General features: G+C 41.2%; 1 pseudogene; it reads right to left on the bottom strand.

Moving 5' to 3' along the window:
• FRG2FP (FSHD region gene 2 family member F, pseudogene) lies at positions 1-2048 on the bottom strand (annotated as a pseudogene).

Raw genomic sequence — 27044 nt, 5'->3', positions numbered from 1 at the left:
ATATTTTCCTGATTACATAGAAATGCATGACTGTCACCAGACCTCCATATCTAACATGAAATATAAAATTTGTCTATAGCATCGGCCTTTTACAAAAAAGCTTACCATTCTGATTATATTGTTCAAATTTATTTCCTATGATTTCTTCATGTTCTGTCATTTATTAACACAGTGCATCTAATATTGTCACTGCTGGTCATCTAGAAAAATCTGAGCAGTAGCAGGTCCTTGTTCTCATTCCCAGAGCTGCATCCTCTGCTGAATAGGGCCAGGGTCCTCTCAGCTCAAGCCTCATCTGATCCACTGACATGCTCAGTTACATCATGCCCAAAAAAGGGTGAGCTTCTCTATTCAGGCCTCTATCCCCAGGACCAGACAGTGTGGCTGAGACAAGCCAACCCTCAGCAGGTAAGACTTAAGCTCCCTGGGTGGCAATGGCATAGAAGGTCTGCACCTGGGCACACAGAGGCCCCCAGATCCAAGTCAGCAATGTGAGCTGCTCTCAGGTCAGTGGAAAATGGACCTGCTGTGCCCACACCTGGGCTAGGTCTTGATAAGTAGCCTCCAGCATAGCTCCAACAGAGGTCACCAAGCTTTTTCCAAGTGCCGGTCATTGGAATCCTAGGGCCCCAGACCTGTGCCACTGGCTGTGCCCAGTGCAAGCCCTCGAATGTCCCTTATGGTGGGCATCACAGATCTCCTGGATTTCACTGTAGTGCACAGCAGTGGAGGACTTTGATTTTTTTTTTTTTTTTAACATCAAGCTGCGTTCCTCTTCTGGACAGTTCCCTGCAGAGAATGCATGTGAGAGACTCGTCAGAGCAGTCCCCACAGACCCTCATTTCCAGAACCTCTTGTGCACCCAGGTGAACCCCACTTGTCTCTCCCACTCCTTCCTGACCATCTCAGCACTGGAATGAAGTGAGGCTGAACCCCTTGTGAGTCCCCAAATATTCTCAGAGCTAAGATCTCAAAAATTTACTTGTCACTAAGAAACTCCCTTCCTGCTGAAGACATGTATAAAAGTTTCCTGATTATTTGCCCTTTGGGGCCACAAAAAAAAAACAAACAAACAACAAAAACACCACCATTACCAAGAAAAAACACCAAGATTATACCTGCTCTGTCTTGGCAGCTGTCCTTGGAACTGATTTTTCTTTTCGTGAAGTTTCCCCAATATGAGCTGGACTCTGGTTCTTTGAATCCAATGAGAGTTTGAAATAGTGCCTCCAACTGAATACCCTGAAATTCCTAGTCCATCCTGGACACGCAGGAGCTCAGGTTGCCACCAAACCCCAGCTCTCTTCTGTTCTGCAGTGTCCAGGATCTGTATGGCCCTGGCTGCCAAGGAGCTCCCAGTTTCCTTGCCAGGAAAGCCTGTGTTGTTGCCCTGTCCCTTCTCACCTTCAAAGAGTCAAATCTTACCTAATCTAGCAGTGCTGTTTCTGGCTTTGGGCTTGGTCTCCTGGGACTTCTCCTCCTCTTTTGGATTTTTGGATTTGGCTCTAATCCTACTGCAAAAGAAAGCTTAGGTGACTCACCTCTCCCTAGGCAGGGTCCCATATTCTATCTCTGATGCATTTTTGCGGATCTGTCTTTCAAGTGAAGCTCTTTTGCCAGCGTCATGAGTGAACACGTTTCTCAAAGTCCCCTGAGGGCGCTAAGCCATTTCCCATCCCCAATCTCAAAACAAAACCCTACCAAAGACACATAGCTCAGTATCCCTGATTCCAACCCTCCTTCCAGCCTCCATAGGAGCAGCCCAAGGCCTTACCTTGCCTTTGTATGTGCTTCTCACTGGAATGGGAAGAGGCGGTCTTGCCTTTTCCTTTGAACGGTTTCTTCTCATCTGAGCCCTTTCCTGTAAAGGAGATCTGTTGGAAAGGGGGCTGGTCAGTGGAACATTGGATGGAGGAGCAGTGGAGATAGGGGTCTTCGTTTCCCTTTCCCATGTTGAAGCTCAAGTGAAAGGTGCGCTGTCTTATCCCTCTGCTACTTAAATTGTAGAGACCCTTCTCTACTATCTTACACGTCCAAATGCAGAGTGTGGGTTTATCGGCTGGACCTGCCTTTTATAGGTCCCTTGGCTGGGCGTGGCTTACTCTTATTGGCTGAACAGGTTTCTCTTTCCTGCCACTCATTAGAGCCCCAATAAGAAAAGTTTCTTGCTGTAGTTCTACTGGGGACCTAGACACAGTTAAGGGGAGACATTTTCAGGATCCTGTCATAGTGACAAGAAACAAAGAACTGGGAGCACAGGGATCAGAAGATTGGGGAATTATTTCTTCCGATTTCTGTCCCAGTTCCTACCTGGAAGGATTTATGATCCTGTTCACCTTTCAAGATGCAGAATTAAACATACCTATATTGATATATGTTACATATTTTGCACAGAAGATAATTTATTATAGGGTTAAAATTATATACATAGATATTATAATTTCTCAAATGCTTGGAAACAACAAATATCAAGATATGGTTGACTGTATTAGATCCATACATATATGATGAAATAAAACTGCAGAGAAAAAGTAAATACCAAATAAAATGGCCCTTCCTACCTAAAAAATGGGGAAGATAATTAGATCAAATGCACCAAAATCGAATTGATTAGATAAGAGCCAGATGTAACCTAATCAGCCCCTATTTCCTGAGGTAGCAAAAAGTGTAGGTGGAAAAACTTTCCCCCTTTCTCACCCTGCCTCAGTCATCCTGGGAGCGCCACTGTGTTCTGTGGAATTTACCCAGCCTCCCTAGTAAAGATGGACTTGGTCCCAAACAGGTAACCCAACTGATCACAAGAAAAACAGCCTAAATGCTGAGCATCAGCTCCTGTCTTCACACTGCGGACACCACCTGAATCCCATCAAAGCCCACGTTGTTTCCCAACATCCACCAGCAAGACGTATTCCAGGGCAGCCTCTCAAAACTGCCTCAGTGAGACGGGGCAAGGTGTGGTGGAGCTCCAGGTTCAGAATAGCTGCCTCATCCCTTCCTACTGCGGCAGAGTCTGCCTCTGCAGGTGGGAGCCCTCCAACTGTAGAAGGGTTAGTGCATGTCCCAGCAAGTGTCCCCTAAAAGGACCTTCTCGTCTCCCCCTCTGCTGAAGAAAGCATGCAGGAATGAGACCTTCTACGTTAGGGAGTACTCAGCCTCCAGTCCCAAATGACTTGATTGACTGATGAACTGATTCCCTGAGGAGGAGAAAGACGCGGGGAAGATACTGTGTCGGGTGAATCTGTTTTCCCAGCTGTGCTGTCTGTGCAAATAGTGGAACCAAAAAAAAAAATTAGTGGTCGACAGACACTGCCTAATGAAATTGTCTGAATTTAAGTGGAACTTATCATAAAATCATCATATACGCATCATCAATCCATGCGTCTCCAATATCATGTAAAATTTGACATATAAATAAATTTTGATATACTATATCATAATATTGTATAAAACTTTATCAGGTAATTTTATAAGAAAGTTAAATTGTGTAGTAACATTAACATCTAAACTTAATAGAAAGCTAGAAAAATTATCTGCTCTTGTTTCAATGACTGCTTTTTGGATAACTCTGTAAAGGGTCTGAAGACGGGTCTGCTACTTACTTGATAAGACTTCGACTTCTAAATCCTTGCTGTTTTTAACCAGTGCCCTACCAAGATATGAGAATATTTTACTCTAAGAAAGCATGTTCATAGATACCATAATAGGAATTTTGTTCATTTTAGTTAAATTATTATAACATATTGGTTATTAATAGTTTATGTACTACTACTCTCCCCTAAATTTTATTTTGAAATCTCTAGTGTAACAGTCTTCCTTCCTTCCTTCCCTCCCTCCGTCCCTCCCTCCCTCCCCAGTTTAGCCAGAAAGTGTTTAGGTTACACATAAACCATCACTGTAACAATCTTCCTTCCTTCCTTCCTTCCTTCCTTCCTTCCTTCCTTCCTTCCTTCCTTCCTTCCTTCCTTCCTTCCTTCCTTCCGTCCCTCCCTCCCTCCCTCCCTACCCCCGCCCCCACAGTTTGGCCAGGAAGTGTTTAGGTTACACATAAACCATCATTGTAACAGCCAGCCAGCCTGGCTGCCCGCCCTCCCTCCCTCCTTCCCCAGTTTGGCCAGAAAGTGTTAGGTTACACATAAACCATCATTTTAACAGCTTGCCTTCCTTCCTTCCTTCCCTCCCTCCCCAGTTTGGCCAGAAAGTGTTTAGGTTACACATAAACCATCACTGACTAGAGACTGTTATTTGAATTTAGGTGATGCCCTATGTCTATTCACAGTGTGTGTAGATATTTAAAATTACACTCAGCTTGGGAGAAAAGAACATTGAGTAGTGGGAAAAAGTCTCACCCACAGCTGTTATACAAATGTACAGACAAATGTCTGGAGAAGATAGCATGTTTTCAAATATTTTCGTCTCTTTGTCAGTCTCTGCCAAATAGACCCTCAGGGGCTCTCTCTGTCTCTTGGATGAACACTCTCCTGAGGGCTTGGAGACATCCACAGTATGAGTTAACCACCCACTGCAGATTTAATAAATGTTCAAATAAATGAGATTGAATGAAAAATAAAACACCTCAATCTGACTGTTCTTTTATGCTTTTCTCCCAGATGTGCACTGATCCATTACTTACAACAAACTTGGACTATAAATTCTTGCATTTGTATATGCTGGGAGTTCTGTGAGTCAGACTTCACCTGAATAATTCTAAGAGTATCTTGGGGGTAAAAGAGATGAAAAATTACATGTTCTTCTGGAGACTAGTATTGTATCAGTTATTATTACTGGACTTCATTCTCCCTCTACCAGTTTGTCCCCGTGACCATTTTTATTACACAATGGTTATTATTATTATTTAACTTTCTGAGTACTAAGTGTGTGCTATGGCGTAGTACGTGACGCAAATAAGACATCCTTCTTTCTCGGGGTTTCCAATGTAAGTCATCAAGTTCAATATTTAGTCATTAGTGTTCTTTTATGTATACACATACAAGTACACACACTACACAAATACATATAAGTATAAATATAGATGTATCTATACCAATAAGTTAAATAATTGCCAACTCATGCACTACTTCTCTGCCTAAAAAGGACAATTTTTTAAAAAGCATATGACAAGTCTTTATTTAATAGCAATTTTAAATCACAGAAACTATTTTTATATTTCTATTTTTTATACAGAATTCAAAGTAATTAAAGAATTTCATGATTTTTCTCTACAGATGGCCTTTGGTGCTACTACCACATATTACCAAAGTGTCTCATCTACCGGACGGTCTCCTCTGATCGTTTAAAACTAGAAAACTGGACAACGCAAAGGCTTTAGCAGATAACTGAAGTGGACTGGTAAACTAATACACGTGAACTTCATAGAATTTGGATCTAGATTGAATCTCTATCAAGACTGTTAGAGGAGGGATATTTGTATAATTGGTTAATAGACCAAGAAAAGACACCATTTGGTAGAGCTTTTACACATTAATTGGCTAGTACAGGGGCTCATGTGAGGTGTGTGTGCCCAAAGGCATGTTTTATTTTCCTGGTAATTAGTAGGGTCAAATGGACTTTATTAAAACTAGTCTAAATGTCAGGCAAGCAAAGAGAAGTAGTGGGTCTTGTGATTATAAGAGCAGATAGAGACAGAAAGTTGAGTCACCAGACTGGCAATCACAGAGCCAGACACTTGGTTTTATCTGACGATAGTTTCCTGAACTCAGACCCAGTCCTGCCTGAGGCCCGAACTAAGACCCAGTTCTGTGAATGCAGAGACACTGTGCTCGGCTGCCCTAATTCCACCATAAGTTTGTGTCATATGCCCTCAATACTTACGGTAATTTAAAAAATGTCTACTGTTCACAGCATAAGAATCCAAAAGAAGGAAAACTGAGGGGTAGAGAAGGAAGGAGAAAAAATAAAAGGAAGAGGGAGAAAGATGGAGGCAGGGAGAGGGAGACAGTGGCTGTAAGCAGGTAAGATGGGATATTAGAGTATCTGGAGGATCCGTCAAAGGGAATGACAATGTAAGATTAAAACATGGAGATACAGATTTATTTTAATTACACCAGTAATTTTGAACACACTCGTTATAAAACTTTGAAATGAATAAAAATAGTCTTCAAGATATTTTAAATAAACTTTATTTTTTAGAGCAGTTTTAGGTTCACAGTAAAATTGAACACAAAATCCAGAGAGTTTCCACAAATCCCCATCCACGTCCATGCATCTCCCCTCCCACGGTCCACATCGCGTAGCAGAATCTAAATTTGCACGCGTCTCCCCTCCGACTGTCCACATCCTGTAGCAGAATCTAAATTTGCACGCGTCTCCCCTCCCACTGTCCACATCCTGCAGCGGAATCTAAATTTGCACGCGTCTCCTCTCCCACGGTCCACATCCTGCAGCGGAATCTAAATTTGCACGCGTCTCCCCTCCCACTGTCCACATCCTGCAGCGGAATCTAAATTTGCATGCGTCTCCTCTCCCACGGTCCACATCCTGCAGCGCAATCTAAATTTGCACGCGTCTCCCCTCCCACTGTCCACATCCTGCAGCGGAATCTAAATTTGCACGCGTCTCCCCTCCCACGGTCCACATCCTGTAGCAGAATCTAAATTTGCACGCGTCTCCCCTCCCACTGTCCACATCCTGTAGCAGAATCTAAATTTGCACGCGTCTCCCCTCCCACTGTCCACATCCTGCAGCGGAATCTAAATTTGCACGCGTCTCTCCTCCCACTGTCCACATCGCATAGCAGAATCTAAATTTGCACGCGTCTCCCCTCCCACTGTCCACATCCTGTAGCAGAATCTAAATTTGCACGCGTCTCTCCTCCCACTGTCCACATCGCGTAGCAGAATCTAAATTTGCACGCGTCTCCCCTCCCACTGTCCACATCGCGTAGCAGAATCTAAATTTGCACGCGTCTCCCCTCCCACTGTCCACATCCTGCAGCGGAATCTAAATTTGCACGCGTCTCTCCTCCCACTGTCCACATCGCATAGCAGAATCTAAATTTGCACGCGTCTCCCCTCCCACTGTCCACATCCTGTAGCAGAATCTAAATTTGCACGCGTCTCTCCTCCCACTGTCCACATCGCGTAGCAGAATCTAAATTTGCACGCGTCTCCCCTCCCACTGTCCACATCGCGTAGCAGAACCGAAATTTGCAAGCGTCTACCCTCCCACTGTCCACATCCCGTAGCAGAATCTAAATTTGCACGCGTCTCCCCTCCCACTGTCCACATCCTGTAGCAGAATCTAAATTTGCACGCGTCTCTCCTCCCACTGTCCACATCGCATAGCAGAATCTAAATTTGCAAGCGTCTCCCCTCCCACTGTCCACATCCTGTAGCAGAATCTAAATTTGCATGCGTCTCCCCTCCCACTGTCCACATCCTGCAGCGGAATCTAAATTTGCATGCGTCTCCTCTCCCACGGTCCACATCCTGCAGCGAATCTAAATTTGCACGCGTCTGCCCTCCCACTGTCCACATCCTGCAGCGGAATCTAAATTTGCACGCGTCTCCCCTCCCACTGTCCACATCCTGTAGCAGAATCTAAATTTGCACGCGTCTCTCCTCCCACTGTCCACATCGCATAGCAGAATCTAAATTTGCACGCGTCTCCCCTCCCACTGTCCACATCCTGTAGCAGAATCTAAATTTGCACGCGTCTCTCCTCCCACTGTCCACATCGCGTAGCAGAATCTAAATTTGCACGCGTCTCCCCTCCCACTGTCCACATCGCGTAGCAGAACCGAAATTTGCAAGCGTCTACCCTCCCACTGTCCACATCCCGTAGCAGAATCTAAATTTGCACGCGTCTCCCCTCCCACTGTCCACATCCTGTAGCAGAATCTAAATTTGCACGCGTCTCTCCTCCCACTGTCCACATCGCATAGCAGAATCTAAATTTGCAAGCGTCTCCCCTCCCACTGTCCACATCCTGTAGCAGAATCTAAATTTGCATGCGTCTCCCCTCCCACTGTCCACATCCTGCAGCGGAATCTAAATTTGCATGCGTCTCCTCTCCCACGGTCCACATCCTGCAGCGCAATCTAAATTTGCACGCGTCTCCCCTCCCACTGTCCACATCCTGCAGCGGAATCTAAATTTGCACGCGTCTCCCCTCCCACTGTCCACATCCTGTAGCAGAATCTAAATTTGCACGCGTCTCTCCTCCCACTGTCCACATCGCATAGCAGAATCTAAATTTGCACGCGTCTCCCCTCCCACTGTCCACATCCTGTAGCAGAATCTAAATTTGCATGCGTCTCTCCTCCCACTGTCCACATCGCGTAGCAGAATCTAAATTTGCACGCGTCTCCCCTCCCACTGTCCACATCGCGTAGCAGAACCTAAATTTGCACGCGTCTCCCCTCCCACTGTCCACATCGCGTAGCAGAACCTAAATTTGCACGCGTCTCCCCTCCCACTGTCCACATCCCGTAGCAGAATCTAAATTTGCACGCGTCTCCCCTCCCACTGTCCACATCGCGTAGCAGAACCTAAATTTGCATGCGTCTCCTCTCCCACTGTCCACATCGCGTAGCAGAATCTAAATTTGCACGCGTCTACCCTCCCACTGTCCACATCCCGTAGCAGAATCTAAATTTGCACGCGTCTCCCCTCCCACTGTCCACATCCTGTAGCAGAATCTAAATTTGCACGCGTCTCTCCTCCCACTGTCCACATCGCATAGCAGAATCTAAATTTGCACGCGTCTCCCCTCCCACTGTCCACATCCTGTAGCAAAATCTAAATTTGCATGCGTCTCCTCTCCCACTGTCCACATCCTGTAGCAGAATCTAAATTTGCACGCGTCTCTCCTCCCACTGTCCACATCCTGTAGCAGAATCTAAATTTGCACAGGTCTCCCCTCCCACTGTCCACATCCTGCAGCAGAATCTAAATTTGCATGCGTCTCCTCTCCCACTGTCCACATCCTGTAGCAGAATCTAAATTTGCACAGGTCTCCCCTCCCACTGTCCACATCCTGTAGCAGAATCTAAATTTGCATGCGTCTCCTCTCCCACTGTCCACATCCTGTAGCAGAATCTAAATTTGCACGCGTCTCTCCTCCCACTGTCCACATCCTGTAGCAGAATCTAAATTTGCACGCGTCTCCCCTCCCACTGTCCACATCCTGTAGCAGAATCTAAATTTGCACGCGTCTCTCCTCCCACTGTCCACATCGCATAGCAGAATCTAAATTTGCACGCGTCTCCCCTCCCACTGTCCACATCCTGTAGCAGAATCTAAATTTGCATGCGTCTCTCCTCCCACTGTCCACATCGCGTAGCAGAATCTAAATTTGCACGCGTCTCCCCTCCCACTGTCCACATCGCGTAGCAGAACCGAAATTTGCAAGCGTCTACCCTCCCACTGTCCACATCCCGTAGCAGAATCTAAATTTGCACGCGTCTCCCCTCCCACTGTCCACATCCTGTAGCAGAATCTAAATTTGCACGCGTCTCCCCTCCCACTGTCCACATCCTGTAGCAGAACCTAAATTTGCAGGCGTCTCCCCTCCCACTGTCCACATCCTGTAGCAGAATCTAAATTTGCACGCGTCTCCCCTCCCACTGTCCACATCCTGTAGCAGAATCTAAATTTGCACGCGTCTCCCCTCCCACTGTCCACATCCTGTAGCAGAATCTAAATTTGCACGCGTCTCCCCTCCCACTGTCCACATCGCGTAGCAGAATCTAAATTTGCACGCGTCTCCCCTCCCACTGTCCACATCCTGTAGCAGAATCTAAATTTGCACGCGTCTCCCCTCCCACTGTCCACATCCTGCAGCTAAATCTAAATTTGCACGCGTCTCCCCTCCCACTGTCCACATCCTGCAGCGGAATCTAAATTTGCATGCGTCTCCCCTCCCACTGTCCACATCCTGCAGCGGAATCTAAATTTGCACGCGTCTCCCCTCCCACTGTCCACATCCTGCAGCGGAATCTAAATTTGCATGCGTCTCCCCTCCCACTGTCCACATCCTGTAGCAGAATCTAAATTTGCACGCGTCTCCCCTCCCACTGTCCACATCCTGCAGCGGAATCTAAATTTGCACGCGTCTCCCCTCCCACTGTCCACATCCTGCAGCGGAATCTAAATTTGCATGCGTCTCCCCTCCCACTGTCCACATCCTGCAGCGGAATCTAAATTTGCACGCGTCTCCCCTCCCACTGTCCACATCCTGCAGCGGAATCTAAATTTGCATGCGTCTCCCCTCCCACTGTCCACATCGCGTAGCAGAACCTAAATTTGCAAGCGTCTACCCTCCCACTGTCCACATCCCGTAGCAGAATCTAAATTTGCACGCGTCTCCCCTCCCACTGTCCACATCCTGTAGCAGAATCTAAATTTGCACGCGTCTCCCCTCCCACTGTCCACATCCTGTAGCAGAACCTAAATTTGCAGGCGTCTCCCCTCCCACTGTCCACATCCTGTAGCAGAATCTAAATTTGCACGCGTCTCCCCTCCCACTGTCCACATCCTGTAGCAGAATCTAAATTTGCATGCGTCTCCCCTCCCACTGTCCACATCCTGTAGCAGAATCTAAATTTGCACGCGTCTCCCCTCCCACTGTCCACATCGCGTAGCAGAATCTAAATTTGCACGCGTCTCCCCTCCCACTGTCCACATCCTGTAGCAGAATCTAAATTTGCACGCGTCTCCCCTCCCACTGTCCACATCCTGCAGCTAAATCTAAATTTGCACGCGTCTCCCCTCCCACTGTCCACATCCTGCAGCGGAATCTAAATTTGCATGCGTCTCCCCTCCCACTGTCCACATCCTGTAGCAGAATCTAAATTTGCACGCGTCTCCCCTCCCACTGTCCACATCCTGTAGCAGAATCTAAATTTGCACGCGTCTCCCCTCCCACTGTCCACATCCTGCAGCTAAATCTAAATTTGCACGCGTCTCCCCTCCCACTGTCCACATCCTGCAGCGGAATCTAAATTTGCACGCGTCTCCCCTCCCACTGTCCACATCCTGCAGCTAAATCTAAATTTGCACGCGTCTCCCCTCCCACTGTCCACATCCTGCAGCGGAATCTAAATTTGCATGCGTCTCCCCTCCCACTGTCCACATCCTGTAGCAGAATCTAAATTTGCATGCGTCTCCCCTCCCACTGTCCACATCCTGCAGCGGAATCTAAATTTGCACGCGTCTCCCCTCCCACTGTCCACATCCTGCAGGGGAATCTAAATTTGCACGCGTCTCTCCTCCCACTGTCCACATCCTGTAGCAGAATCTAAATTTGCACGCGTCTCTCCTCCCACTGTCCACATCGCATAGCAGAATCTAAATTTGCACGCGTCTCCCCTCCCACTGTCCACATCCTGTAGCAGAATCTAAATTTGCATGCGTCTCCTCTCCCACTGTCCACATCCTGTAGCAGAATCTAAATTTGCACGCGTCTCTCCTCCCACTGTCCACATCGCATAGCAGAATCTAAATTTGCACGCGTCTCCCCTCCCACTGTCCACAACCTGTAGCAGAATCTAAATTTGCACGCGTCTCTCCTCCCACTGTCCACATCGCATAGCAGAATCTAAATTTGCACGCGTCTCCCCTCCCACTGTCCACATCCTGTAGCAGAATCTAAATTTGCACGCGTCTCCCCTCCCACTGTCCACATCGCGTAGCAGAACCTAAATTTGCACGCGTCTCCCCTCCCACTGTCCACATCGCGTAGCAGAACCTAAATTTGCACGCGTCTCCCCTCCCACTGTCCACATCCCGTAGCAGAATCTAAATTTGCACGCGTCTCCCCTCCCACTGTCCACATCCTGTAGCAGAATCTAAATTTGCACGCGTCTCCCCTCCCACTGTCCACATCCTGTAGCAGAACCTAAATTTGCAGGCGTCTCCCCTCCCACTGTCCACATCCTGTAGCAGAATCTAAATTTGCACGCGTCTCCCCTCCCACTGTCCACATCCTGTAGCAGAATCTAAATTTGCATGCGTCTCCCCTCCCACTGTCCACATCCTGTAGCAGAATCTAAATTTGCACGCGTCTCCCCTCCCACTGTCCACATCGCGTAGCAGAATCTAAATTTGCACGCGTCTCCCCTCCCACTGTCCACATCCTGTAGCAGAATCTAAATTTGCACGCGTCTCCCCTCCCACTGTCCACATCCTGCAGCTAAATCTAAATTTGCACGCGTCTCCCCTCCCACTGTCCACATCCTGCAGCGGAATCTAAATTTGCACGCGTCTCCCCTCCCACTGTCCACATCCTGTAGCAGAATCTAAATTTGCATGCGTCTCCCCTCCCACTGTCCACATCCTGCAGCGGAATCTAAATTTGCACGCGTCTCCCCTCCCACTGTCCACATCCTGCAGGGGAATCTAAATTTGCACGCGTCTCCCCTCCCACTGTCCACATCCTGCAGCGGAATCTAAATTTGCATGCGTCTCCCCTCCCACTGTCACATCTGTAGCAGAATCTAAATTTGCATGCGTCTCTCTCCCCACTGTCCACATCCTGTAGCAGAATCTAAATTTGCACGCGTCTCTCCTCCCACTGTCCACATCGCATAGCAGAATCTAAATTTGCACGCGTCTCCCCTCCCACTGTCCACAACCTGTAGCAGAATCTAAATTTGCACGCGTCTCTCCTCCCACTGTCCACATCGCATAGCAGAATCTAAATTTGCACGCGTCTCCCCTCCCACTGTCCACATCCTGTAGCAGAATCTAAATTTGCATGCGTCTCTCCTCCCACTGTCCACATCGCGTAGCAGAATCTAAATTTGCACGCGTCTCCCCTCCCACTGTCCACATCGCGTAGCAGAACCTAAATTTGCACGCGTCTCCCCTCCCACTGTCCACATCGCGTAGCAGAACCTAAATTTGCAAGCGTCTACCCTCCCACTGTCCACATCCCGTAGCAGAATCTAAATTTGCACGCGTCTCCCCTCCCACTGTCCACATCCTGTAGCAGAATCTAAATTTGCACGCGTCTCCCCTCCCACTGTCCACATCTTGTAGCAGAACCTAAATTTGCAGGCGTCTCCCCTCCCACTGTCCACATCCTGTAGCAGAATCTAAATTTGCATGCGTCTCCCCTCCCACTGTCCACATCCTGTAGCAGAATCTAAATTTGCATGCGTCTCCCCTCCCACTGTCCACATCCTGTAGCAGAATCTAAATTTGCACGCGTCTCCCCTCCCACTGTCCACATCGCATAGCAGAATCTAAATTTGCACGCGTCTCCCCTCCCACTGTCCACATCCTGCAGCGGAATCTAAATTTGCACGCGTCTCCCCTCCCACTGTCCACATCCTGCAGGGGAATCTAAATTTGTTCCAATCAGTGAAACTACAATGACTAGTCTTGTCTTGTTGGGGATTTTTCATACACACTCATGTGAAACATTGGTATGCAGTTTTCTTTTACTGTAATATCATTGTGCTGTTTTAATATTAGCCTCATTGAATGAGTTAGGAAATATTCCCTCTGATTCTGTCTTCTGAAAAAGATTGTAAGGAGTTGTTATAATATTTTTCATAAATGTTTGGTAGATTCTACCAGTGGACCCATCTGGGACTGGTACTTTATATTTAGGAAGTTATTAATTATTGATAGTATTTCTTTAATACATAAGAGTTATTCTAACTAGTTTTTCTTGTGTCAGAATCTAGCAAATTTAGATTCTGCTACACGATGTGGACAGTGGGAGGGGAGACACATGCAAATACGTGTGTTTTCAAACTCAATGGCTGTCATCATTGAGACACTGAATTTTCACCATATTGTTTAATTTGCTACTACTTAAAGTTATTATCTCTTCTGCAAATTCATTTTTTAAAAAGATTGACGATCTAGAAACAAAGCAGAATTTTACTTTATGTGGAATTAATAATCAGTTTTGGCTAGATTAATTAAATGCAGTATCTGTAAGACTTTCATTAAAATTAAAATTAAATCATTAAAATTAAAAAATGTTGGGCCGGGAGCGGTGGCTCATGCCTGTAAATCCCAGCACTTTGGGAGGCCAACGCGGGCGGATCACGAGGTCAGCAGATCGAGACCATCCCGGCTAACACGGTGAAACCCTGTCTCTACTGAAAATGCAAAAAAAATTAGCGGGGCGTGGTGGCGGGCACCTGTAGTCCCAGCTACTCGGGAGGCTGAGGCAGGAGAATGGCGTGAACCCGGGAGGCAGAGCTTGCAGTGAGCCGAGATCGGGCCGCTGCACTCCAGCCTGGGCGACAGAGCGCGACTCCATCTCAAAAATAAATAAATAGATAAATAGATAAATAAATAAATAAATAAAAATAAAAATGAAAAATGATGAAGTCAGGCAGACTTATAAAGCTATCCTATAATTTATGTGTCCTTTTGTCTATTATTTCAAATATGTATTTAAGTATTATAGCCTTTTTCCTACAAACATTATATATATATATCTAATATGTAAAACAAATAAAAAATGGAGTTTTTCTGATGAACACAGAAGAGGCAACTTGAAAGACACTTCCCCAGTTTCCTTCTCATATAACTTGACTGATCCTGCAAAACCTCTACAGAATGTCATTGTTCCTTAGAACAGTACAAAACCCACCATCCTATTGTTGTTTCTGAACTGTACCCATTTCTTTATATGCCTCTTTCTGAACCATTTTCTTATCAAGACTGATGGTTCTTTGTTACTGAATGAAAAGAATACCCACGCTTTAGCCTATGTAGAGTTGTGTTAAAAGAAAAATCTTAAATTTAACAGAATTTAATCAAGCAAAGAACGATTCACAAATTGGGCAGCCGCTGAACCAAAATACGTTCAGAGATGATCCAGTGCTGTCTCTTGGTCAAAGAAGATTCATGGATAGAAAAAGGAAAGTGACATAGAGAAAACGGAAGTGAAGTACCAAAACAGACAATTTGGCTTTTGCCTTACTTTAACAGTTGTAACAGTTGGCCATCTTTGATTGGCTGAAACTCGGTGATTGGCACAACAGTAGATTACAGTCTGTTTACACATTCAGTTAGATATAGTTCACTATGTACAAAGAAATCATTAAGCCGAATTTAAAATATGTAAGGAGGCAGCGTTAGGTTAAACTTAACAGTTGTATTAAGTTAGCCATCAAATCAGAATTAGCATTTTCTTCCTTTTACTTAAATTCTTCTTCACTGTTTTATTATCATTGTCTTTTGGTCTTTTCATCTACTTGTGCAAAACTCTGCGTTGATGCTTTAGTGCTCTCAGTATCTTCCCATGTTCTTGACATCCTGATCCTGATACTTTTAAGTAATATAAAAGGTGCCTTCTTGGATGTCAGGTGTCCTGAAAGAGGACACTGTCATCTTGCTCAACCATCATTGAGAATGCTTCAGGAAATGGCCTTTTGGTGTCCTATCTTTACCTAGCACCCATTTCTCTTTCAGCAATTTAGTGTCCTGAAATAGCCAGATGCTGTTATTTACTCTATCCTTAAGCAGAAGAAATATCTTTATTTAAAAAAATTTTTTTTTATATATTAAAAAAACCTAAAATACAAAAAATGATTTTTCCAGATTTGCTTCAGTTTTCTTTTATAACAAAATGATAGAGATACAGATAGGACTTACACATTCCATTCTTTCCTCTTAGAGATCACCTTTTAACGATAGCCTCTTAAGATGGTTTGATACATTCCCATTCATGTTTTCATACATTCATACACATATGCATATTCCTCAAATATATATTATTGTTTTGTATGAGAAAAATGTTTGTAAATTGAATATATCCTGAAACATTGTTTATCTCAACATAATGCTTATGAAATTTTATCCATCTTGTTTCATTTATTTCTGTTTTATTCATTTTAATTCCTGAGTGAATTTTAAGTATTGACTATAGATAGATCATGACTTTGAGGGATGGCATGCAAATATCAGTATCTCCAAGCCTTTTCTCTTGAGTGGTTCAGGCAACTACAGTGCAATCTTCTGATCTCCTTCTGAGGGTACCACTGTCACTGTTCCTTGTAGGAACCTAGCAGTAACAGGTGATTAATAAAGTGTCTCCCATTAGTATGTAGAATTTCTACCCTTAACTTCCCTGATTTCTGTATGTTACTCAGCTGTGGTTGCTGTCTCAGAGAACTCTTCTTATAGGACATAAGATGTTTTCCAGGATAACAACCACCAGCTGTCTGATTTCAGAGAGGTAGAAGCCTGGCAATATTAGATTGAGGATGTGTATACAGGATTCCAGTTTCTTAAAACATTTTTTTTTCCTATTTGCATCACCTCCCATGGCACTACTTTATTTATTTATGTATTATTTATTTTAATTTTTAAAAAATTTATTTTTTTTAGACAAATTCTTGTTCTGTCACTGAGGCTGGAGTGCAGTGGTGCGATCTCTGCTCACTGCAACCTCCGCCTCCCGGGTTCCAGCGATCCCCCACTTCAGCTTCCCGAGTAGCTGGGACCACAGGCACGCACCACCACACCTGGCTAATAGCACTTCTTTATAGAGATTTTTGCCAGGATAAATATAATTTTTGAGATATCTGCATTGTAGGCAATCATCTTTTTTAATTTTTCATTCACAAATGTTATTTCCAAAATGTAGCCGTCTCTTACCTACTAATTTTTCTCCTGTTTTCTTTGTCTGTATGGGTTTGTATTTTTTAATTGTTGCTATTATGGCTATTGTTGTTATTGTTATATTATTCATTTTCTATTAGCTAAGTGAAGGTTTTGGGGCAGTATGAAATAAATATGTCAAAGTTACCATATTCTTCTGTTATTATTTTTAATGGAAGATAATAAATTTTAATTTTTTCTTCAATGATTTTGATCTGTTCAGTATTTTCTAATCACTTTACATAAATTTATAGGTTTGCTACTTAACATACTTTATTATTTTGTCCATTTTGGGTGGGGATTGGGAATGAGGAGATTGAAATACAAAGAAATTCAAAGCCTTGACTAGGGTCCTGTTGGCAATGGGATCAGGAGTTCGAACAAAACAATCTCCTCCAGAGCCCATGTGCTCAACCACTTACTTCCCTCCCTCCCTTGTTGCTACTGAGAGAATAACTCCTACTGAGAAAGTGTCTTATGACACTTTTAAGACTAACTTTTAAGAAAATTTCGGAAGAAATTCTTGAATTTAGTAAAATATTGTACAAGATAGACTTACAGCTACTTTTAAAGTTCTAAGTTGTAAGACTTTGTAAACACTTGCTTTTATGCACTACAGAGAAAGAGCCCATTCCAGTTCCTCCTCTCTGCTTTTCAAACTCTCTGTTTTTTGCTCACTTTTCTCCAAATTACTGTAAATCCTCTCCCTGGCAAGATGCAGTTTCTCACTCTACACTATCACACACACATTAGCCTGGTGGTTACTTCTTACCTTGCTATAATCCCAGTGAACTAGAATTTTGATCTGATGTGATATGAAAGAAATGAGGAAGAAAAGAAAAATTTTAAAAAGCACATCATTATTTTTGGATATACATCTGTCTGTTGCCAACTTAGAATTATGAAATATAATGAACATGTAAAGGTCTTGACTTGTATTTCTCAATTTATTCTTAAACGTCTTTATTCATCTTCTGTAATTGCAGTCCTTGATAACCTGAGCGGCAAAAATGAAGAGAATGCAAACAGAAGGGCTGAGAGAAAAAACCTCTTCTAACCACTGCTCCTTAATTTCCCAGGATCCACATTCTCATCCTTACCATTCCTTTAATCGTTTTCCTTTTATATACTTTATATGATAAATGGAGTCTTATGAACTCACTTGGAAATCTAATCACTATTTTTTAAGGAAATATATTTTTAGCTCAAAACTTCATTTTCAAACATAACCAGTTTGCATGTTGAGAACAGATTACAGCTAAACAGATTGTACACACGCACACATTCTGGATTTATTGTATTTACGTGGTGTAATCACCATCTTGTATCTAAGGTCCTGATATCTTGGAGGAAAATGAAATATGAATTTGGAGATAAGAGATTGTTGGTCTTGTATTTATATTACCTAAAACAACTCATGCAGAACTGGTAAGAAGTTGCTTATGTGCACACAGAAGGGAAATGTGGGGTCGGGGCCCCCACACAGTCCCCACTGTGGTACTGCCTAGTGGAGCTGTGGGAAGAAAGCCACCCTCCTCCAGACCCTGGAATGGTAGATCTACTGACAGCTTGCACTGTGTTCCTGGAAAAGCTGCAGAAACTCAACCCAGGGGGGGGTCTGTATCCTGCAAAGCCACAGGGACAGAGTTGCCCAAGGTCCTGGGAGCCCACCTCTTACATCAGAGTGACCTGGATGTGAGACATGGGGTCAAAGAAGATCACTTTGGAGCTTCAAGAACTGACTGCCCTGCTGGATTTCAGACTTGCATGAGGCCTGTGACCTCTTTGCTTTGGCCAATTTCTCCCATTTGGAATGGGTGTATTTATCTAATGCCTATACCCCCATTGTATCTGGGAAGTAAATAACTTGCTTTTAATTTTACAAGCTCATAGGCAGAAGAAATTTGCCTTGTCTCAGATTAGACTTTGGACTGTGGACTTTCAAGTCAATGCTGAAACGAGTTAAGACTTTAGGGGACTGTTGGAAGGGCATGACTGTGTTTCAAAATGTGAGGACATGAGATTTGGGAGGGGCCAGGGCAAAATGATGTCGTTGTCTGTGTCCCCACCCAAATCTCATCTTGAATTGTAGCTCCCATAATGCCCATGTATCATGGGAGGGACCTGGTGGGAGGTAACTGAATCATGGGGGTGGGTTTTTCCCATGCTGTTCTCATGACAGTGAGTAAGTCTCAGGAGAGCTGATGGTTTTATAATGGGCAGTTCCCCTGCACAAGCTCTCTTGCCTGCTTCTATGTAAGACATGACTTTGCTTCTCCTTTGCCTCGTGACATGATGGTGAGGTCTCCCCAGCCATGTGGAACCATGAGTCAATTAAAACTGTTTCCTTTATAAATTACCCAGTCTTGGTACGTACTTATTAACAGTGTGAGAATGGACTAATACAACAGACAACCTACAGAATGGGAGAAATATTCACAAACTATTCATCCAACAAAGGACTAATATCCACAATTTACAAGAAACTTAAGCAAACAAGCAAAAAACCAATAACCCCATTAAAAAATGGTCAAAGAACATGAACAGACACTATTGAAAAGAAGACAAACAACCATCAAACATATGAAAAGATGCTAATCATCACTAATCATCAGAGAAACGCAAATCAAAACCATAGTGAGATACAGTCTCATACCAGTCAGAATGGCTTTTGGTTAAATAGTCAAAAAATAACAGCTGCTGGTGGGGCTGCGGAGAAAAGGGAGTTCTTGTACACTGTTGGTGGGAATGTGAATTAGTTCAGTCACTGTAGAAAGCAGTTTGCAGATTTCTTAAAGAACTCAGAGCTGAACTACCAAGTTACCCAGCAACCCCATTACTGGATATACACCCAAAGGAAAATACATTGTTCCACCGAAAAGATACATACACTACACACACCCATACATTCATTGCAACACTAGTCACAATAGCAAAGACATGCAACCAAACCAAGTGCCCATCAGCAGTGGATTGGATAAAGAAAATGTGGTACATATGCAACATGTAATACTACACAGCCATAAAGAAGAACGAAACTGTTATTTGTAGCAACATGGATACAGCCAGAGGCCATTACCTTAAGTGAACTAAAGCAGAAACAGAAAACCAAATACCATGTGTTCTCACTGATAAGTGGGAACTAAACGTTGGGTACACATGGTTATAAAGATGGGGACAACTGACGCTGGGGATACCAGAGGAGAGACTGAGAAACTACTTATTTCTGGGTGGTGGGTTCAGTCATACTCCAAACCTGAGCATCACATCATATATCTTTGTAACAAACCTGCACATCTACCCCTGGAATATAAAATAAAAGTTGAAATTTAAAAAGAAAAGAATGAAAAACTAGAGGGGAACAGAGGTAACAAAAAATAATGAGTGCCCTTATAGGAAATGAAAATCTGATTTAAAAAACTGTATTAATTAAAAATCATGATAATAGAGTAAGCTTTTGTTAAACTTATTTTTTAAGTGTCATTTGGATCAGTGAATGAAGAATTATTAAATATTACTTTTAAAAATTCAATTATATATTTGAAATATATCATTATAATTTGAACTTACATTTAATATAAAAATAATTTCCAGATGGACACAACAGTTAACTGTAATCAAATAAAAATCAAATAACTCAAAGACAAATACCTGTTAAAATCTCATGGTGGAAAAATACTTAATAAATAAGAAAGTTTCAAGACATTTGCCCAGTAATGCCAATCTACATAAATTTTAAAAAAACAAATACTTCTGAGTGAAGATATTTATAAAATTTTAGAAGAATATAATTAAAATAATGTAAATGCCTAATAATGAAGAAATGGCTAAATATATAGTACATTAATATGGTAGAATTGCATCAAATGTTATGTAACCATTAAAATGTATTTTGAAAAATGTTGAGTGAACAAAAGTATCTTTCTCATAAAATTATAAATGAATTAATAAGAATTAAATCCAATTATTCTGTATGCTCTCCATTTTTTGCAAACAAAATAATACAAGTATGTTTGGAAAAATATTGATATAGCTATATAAATAACTACTTTTTTGTCTTTATTTTATTCTGCAGTAAACATTTATTATTAATATACTCCTAATATGAAGTAACAGTTATATTTTAAATTTAAAATAAACAATAAAACTTTACCAGTTTCAAATCCCCTTCATATCTGTGGGTTTCACATCCATCTATTTAGCCAACCACAGATAAAAAACATTTTTTAAAAATTGTGTTCATACTTAATATGTACAGACTTTATTCCCTTACTTAAACAATACATGATAACAAATATTTACATAACATTTTCCTTTTACTAGGTATTACAAATAGTCTAGGGATGATTTAAAGTGCACAGAAGTATGTGCATAGGTTATATGTAAATGTTACAGGGTTTCAGTGACTCTGGGAGCTTCTGGAACTGATTCCTACAGATACTGAGGGATGACTGTACTACAATCCTATCCACCTCTATCTAGTGCATTAGAATGATTCTCTCTGGTAACACCCTGAGTGCAATCTACCTTATAATCTTTTAATGTTAATGTTTTACTTCCATTAAATTATAAGCTCATTATACTACTAGATATGTCATCTGAAGTTATGTTAATTTAAACATTTCTTTACAAAGTCTCAACATTCTATAGTAAGATTGGACAAGTCTGGCAGGACTATTTTACTACACACCTAATATTTTACTCTGTATTACAGCAGACAGCAATTTGTACCCTTCCCTCAGTCTTAGAATCTCTGGACAAAAGTAACTTATGAGCTAAATCCCATGAGCTCTAGATCAGTCTCCAACTACTGATACTCATTGAGCACCTGGATACTGACATTTACTCTCAATCATGAAGAGTCATTAATGAAAAATAAATATAGAAATGTCTTCAAATGTTCAACAAAGTTGAAATACGTGTAAGATTTAACAGATAGTTCATATCCTTAATAGACTATTGCTTTGCTATAGGAGGAGCAATAATCCTAGAACACAAAGTATTTATGATATGAAATGTAATATATGTTGGGATATTAAAATCAAGACAGCAATATTAGTAGAGAAGATAGATCAAAATAAAAATCAATGACATAGCACATAGGTACTAAATATAAAAATATGCCTAATTTAGGTTATTTAAAAAATAATGTACTTTCAAATAAGAAAGAGTGAAGTATGATAACATGAAAATATACACTATGCTTAAGCAGTGCTCAAATCAAACATGTAAGAAGAGTCTTCAAATATTTGCTAATTCCAATATGAGAAGGCTTTCATGGAATCTAATTTGGAAAAGATTAAGAAAATTCATTATTTAAGTTTAAATAAAAAGAATATATATCTGAACCAAAATATCATAGAGCAAAGAAAGGGGGTCAGAAAAATAGAATAAACCTTACTTTAGATATTTAAGGGTTTTTTTATGAGTCACTTGAAAATTAGTATCTAGATTATTATTATTATTATTATCATTATTATTATGTAGCTTCAAAGTTTTCCCCACAAACTATTGGGTTGTCATTGTTTACTTAAGAGTCTTAGGCAAACATAAATTTTCAAAGATCCAGTTTCTTCTTCTATGATAATCTTCCTCAGCCTTGATACATTGAGATCTGGCCTGGACATTTCTTTGCTCCCAGACGTTGTCCCATTTTTTGTTTATCTGCGTCTCGGGTCTTTACCCACTAGATGCCACTGTCTCCTACCCCATCGTCGTGACAACCAAAAATGTCCAGGTTTACCTCGGGGGACAAAATCATCCCTGTGGAAAACTGCTAGCTGAATATATATATATATATATATATATATATATATATATATATATATATATTTTTTTTTTTTTTTTTTTTTTTTTTTTTTTGGGACAGAGTCTCGCTCTGTCTCCCAGGCTGGAGTGCGGTGGCGCGATCTCGGCTCACTGCAAGCTCCGCCTCCCGGGTTCACATCATTCTCCGGCCTCAGCCTCCCGAGTAGCTGGGACTACAGGCGCGTGCCAACATGCCCGGCTAATTTTTTGTATTTTTAGTAGAGACGGGGTTTCACCGTGTTAGCCAGGAAGTTGCTAATATTAATAGTACCTATACCATAGATTTATTGCAAAAAATAAACAAGGTTAAACTATTACGTGGGTCATGGGGTTGTTGTGAAAATTAATTGTAACAAAGTTCCTAACAAATAGTAAATGATCAAGAAACGTTCGTTATTATTATTTGACTTCAGCCCTTTTTTATGCCATAAAACAGTAATACCCAAGTTCTCTTCCACTTCTTAAATTATATGATTATTTCAGGTTATATCTAATATATCTAATCAGATTATATCTAATTCGTTATAAAATCAGTTGAAACTTTTTCAGCGAAGATCACTGAAGTAAAATAAATACAGATCGTAATTTTTAAATTGTCCTGTAGTCACAAATAGGAAAATGAAAATAGATGTATTTTATATGTAAGATAAAAGTACCTTATGGGAAAGGAAGAATATGCATATGTATTATTTACAATTTTTATAATATTTATTATAATTAAACGCTGCATGAAAGCTATTAATAGTACTTATTTTTACACAGAGTAAGAAACTTTGAGACACTTTTCCCTTTTGCGTTCTATTACTTTTTATTACATATACATATATAAACATAACTTAAAACTTTCTCATGGGGGCTTGCCAGAGCTTCTGTTTAACCTCAGTCATGAAGAGCTCTCTTAATTCTGCCAATTCACGAGAACAAAAGACTTGCTTGTGCTGAAAGCCATTACAAATTGGAGACATGGGTTGATGCAGTATTCCCAAGTGGGGTGTTTACATAGTGCCCAAAATCCAGAGAACCATAACCAACACTGCGATGCTTTTATATGTCAGCTGGTACAAAATGCAATAATTTACCATCTTGTCCTCTACATGGAAGGTATCCTGAATTACTGAGGGCAACCGCAAACCTAAAATATTTACCAGTGAAAGGCCAGTCTCAAGACTGTAGGTTTTATGTTTCAGATTATGGTTTATTGTTCACATTCCTGTACAAGAGTATCAGAAAATGACATTTCTTGCTCACTAGGGCTGATAAATCTGATATCATCAATATAGTGATCAATATTTTGGTCTTTGTAATTTTAAGACTATTAAGGTTACTTCAGGTCATATTATAACAAAACACAATCATAGCCCTGGGCAAGACAGCAAATATGTTCTGTGGTCTACCCTGGTGAATGAAAATACCTTTTATCTGTTTTCATGAAGGGGATAGAAAGTGATATTTGTCAGATCATAGATGCAAAACCAAGAGTAGAAGCTGGGTTGAGCTGTTAAAATACAGATACTACATAATATCAATACACAGCAGATGCATTTGGAATTATCAGTTGCTGACATTTACATGATTCCCCCATCATCCTCCAGATTCAAAATTTTGCATGGGTCATTCCAGTACATTAAATGGGGATGTGCTAGGGACTTCGACACCTGCACCCCTTTTATCTTTGAGAATGCTATTATTACTGCCATCTTATTCGTTGCTGATTTTCTGTTTTCATGAGAGAATGTGATGGTGAATTTTATGTTAACCATTTATGTTTTATTTTACCATTTCCTATTCCATTTTATGTTTTATTACTTTTATTTTTTTACTGGCTTATGGGGTACCCAGAAAACTGTGAGACTGATTTTGGAGGAACTTGGCATTTGAATCAGTAAACTGAGTAAAGATGACCTGCCCTTAGCAGTGTGGGCAAGCATCACGCAAGCTTTGAAGGCCAGAATACAACAAAACGGCAGAGGAAAGGCACATTTGCTTCCTCTTCTATAACAGCAATATCCATCTTCTCTTCCCCTGAGGAGCTCCAGTTTTTGAGCGTTTGGATGCCAGGACTTACACCATTGACTCTTCTGGTTCTTAGTCTTCAGACTCATTGAATTACATCACTGGCTTTCCTGGTTCTCCAGCTTGCAGATGGCATAGCATGGGACTTTTTGTCTTCCATAATTGTGTGAGCCAATTTCCACAATAAATTTTCTTTATTTATCTCTTTTTGTCTCTCTCTCTCTCTCTGTCTCTATCCTTCTGTCTCTCTGTGTGTTTGTGTGTGTGTGTGTGTGTGTGTGTGTGTGTGTGTGTGTGTGTCCTATTGATTCTGTTTCTATGAAAAGCGCTGCCTAATACCGGAACTTTTGCTTGGTCTTCCCTACCATAATTGATCTTATTCTACATTTCAACAAACCAATGCAATTTCTGTAAGTTGCTGTGTACATCCATTTCAATTATGTCCTCGATGACCAGGGCAATGAACACAGGGTAGTTTAACAAACCCATTAGACTAATGTGAGAGAAAGGCGGACCAGAAAGCCATTTATCAGCTGATCCCTGAAAATTCCAATTATAATAGGTATCTTAATGGCATTTTTGTGTACCCTGGTATCAGTGTCATCTAAGCCCTGGTATTTAAAAGTTCTTGAAAGATCTGGTGAAACTATCCCTAATTATAATAGTTTTAGAACATCTTTGGAGGTGGTTTTGGAAAGTAATTATTACATCATTTAGGCAAAGGTATGGATGTAAATGTGCCATGCAAATACTAACCCTACATGGTGTGCCCATATTAATATTAGATAAAGTGGTCTTCAAAACAGGAGTACTGCCAAAGATAAAGGTGTCAGGTCATAATCAAAAAAGGCCAGTTCATAAAATTAACAATCTTAAATGGATGAACCTAATGAAACTTCAAAATGTGAAACAGACATCAACAGAGTAAAGGTGATGATAATCAGATCTACTTTTCAAATGTCTGTGGAACATTAATCAAGATAGATCAAGTACTGGACCATCAAATAATTCTCACTAAATATAAAAGAAATTAAATCATAGACAGTTTGTGCTCTGAGCAAAACAGGACTAAATTAAAAATCAATAACAAAAATATGTTCAGAAAAACCTTAATATTTGGCAACTGAGCAAATAACTTTTAAATAACAATGGATATAGAAATAATTATCAGATCTGTATTTAAATTTTTTAATTGTGTTAAAATTTTAACAATTTTAAGTACATAATTCATAGCATTAAGTACATTCCCAGTGTTGTACAACCAGCATCTCCATTTCCATCACAAAAAGAAATAAAGTACCCTTAAACAGTAACTCACCATTACTTCCTCTCCCCAGTCTCTGGTAAACACTAATCTTCATTCTGTCTTCACAGATTTGCCTGTTCTAGATATTTCATATCAGCAGAATCATACAACATTTGTCATTTCATGTCTGGTTTACTTCACTCAGCATCATGTTTCCAAGTTTCACCCATGTTGCATGTATCAGAACTTCATCCCCTTTAATGGCTGAATAATATTCTATTATTTATGTATTATATTTTGTGTATCCATTCGTTGATGGACAAGGGTTGTCTCTGGCTATGGCGAATAATGCTGCAATTAACTTTGGTGTAAAAATATCTGTTCAAGACCCTGCTGTCAACTTTTTTGTGTATCATACCTAGGAGTGGAATTTCTGGTTCTCTGTGTGATTCTGTGAGGAAGTACCAAATTGTTTTTCACAGCAAGTGCATCATTTTCTATTCCTAGCAGCCAGTTCATGAGGGCTCCAATTTCTCCACCTCCTTAGCAACATTTATTTTCTGTGTCGTTGTTATGAAAGCCATACTAGTGGAAGCAAAGTGGCATCTCATTTTGGTTTGGTTTTCCATTTTATCAATGAATAATGGTGTTGAGCATCTTTTCTTGTTCTTATTAGACATTTGTTTATCTTCTTTGGAGAAACGTCTATTCAGGTCCTTTGCCTATTTTTTAATTGGGATGTTAGAAATTCTGTTGTTGAGTTTTGAGATATTAAGCTTTTATCAGATACACATTTTTCTTTTATCAGATACATATTTTCTCACATACTATGGGTTGTCTTTTCATTTCCTTGATAGTGTCCTTTGATGCATGAAAGTTTTTGATTAAATCTAACTTATGTATTTTTTCTTTTGTTATCTGTGCTTTTCTGTCATATTTCAAAAAACACTTAAGACTCAAAGGTCATGAAGGTTTCCTGTGTGTTTTCGTCCAAGAGTTACACATTTTAGTCCTTATATTTAAGTCTTCTGTTAATTTAGAGTTAATTTTTGTATATAGTGCAAGGCAAGGGTCTAACTTCTCTCCTGTGCACTGATACCCAGCTGTTGAACAGACTGTTCATTCCTCCATTGACTGGTCTTGGCCCCCTTGTTGAACAGTCGTCGACCATATATGTGAAGACTAATTTCTAGGATCTCAATTCTATTCTATTGGTCTAAATGTCAATTGGTCTTATGCCAGTAAAACACTCTCTTGATTACTGTAGATTTGTAGCACGTTGTGAATCTGGAAAATGTGAGTTTTCCAATGTTCTTTTTCAAGATCGTTTCATCTATGTCAGATCCTTTGAGTTTTTGTATGAATTTTAGAATGAGTTTCTCTGTTTC

The sequence above is a fragment of the Homo sapiens genome, chromosome 3, assembly GCF_000001405.40.
Source record: "Homo sapiens chromosome 3, GRCh38.p14 Primary Assembly".
Lineage (NCBI taxonomy): Eukaryota > Metazoa > Chordata > Mammalia > Primates > Hominidae > Homo > Homo sapiens.
This window is presented reverse-complemented; position numbering and strand designations above follow the sequence as displayed.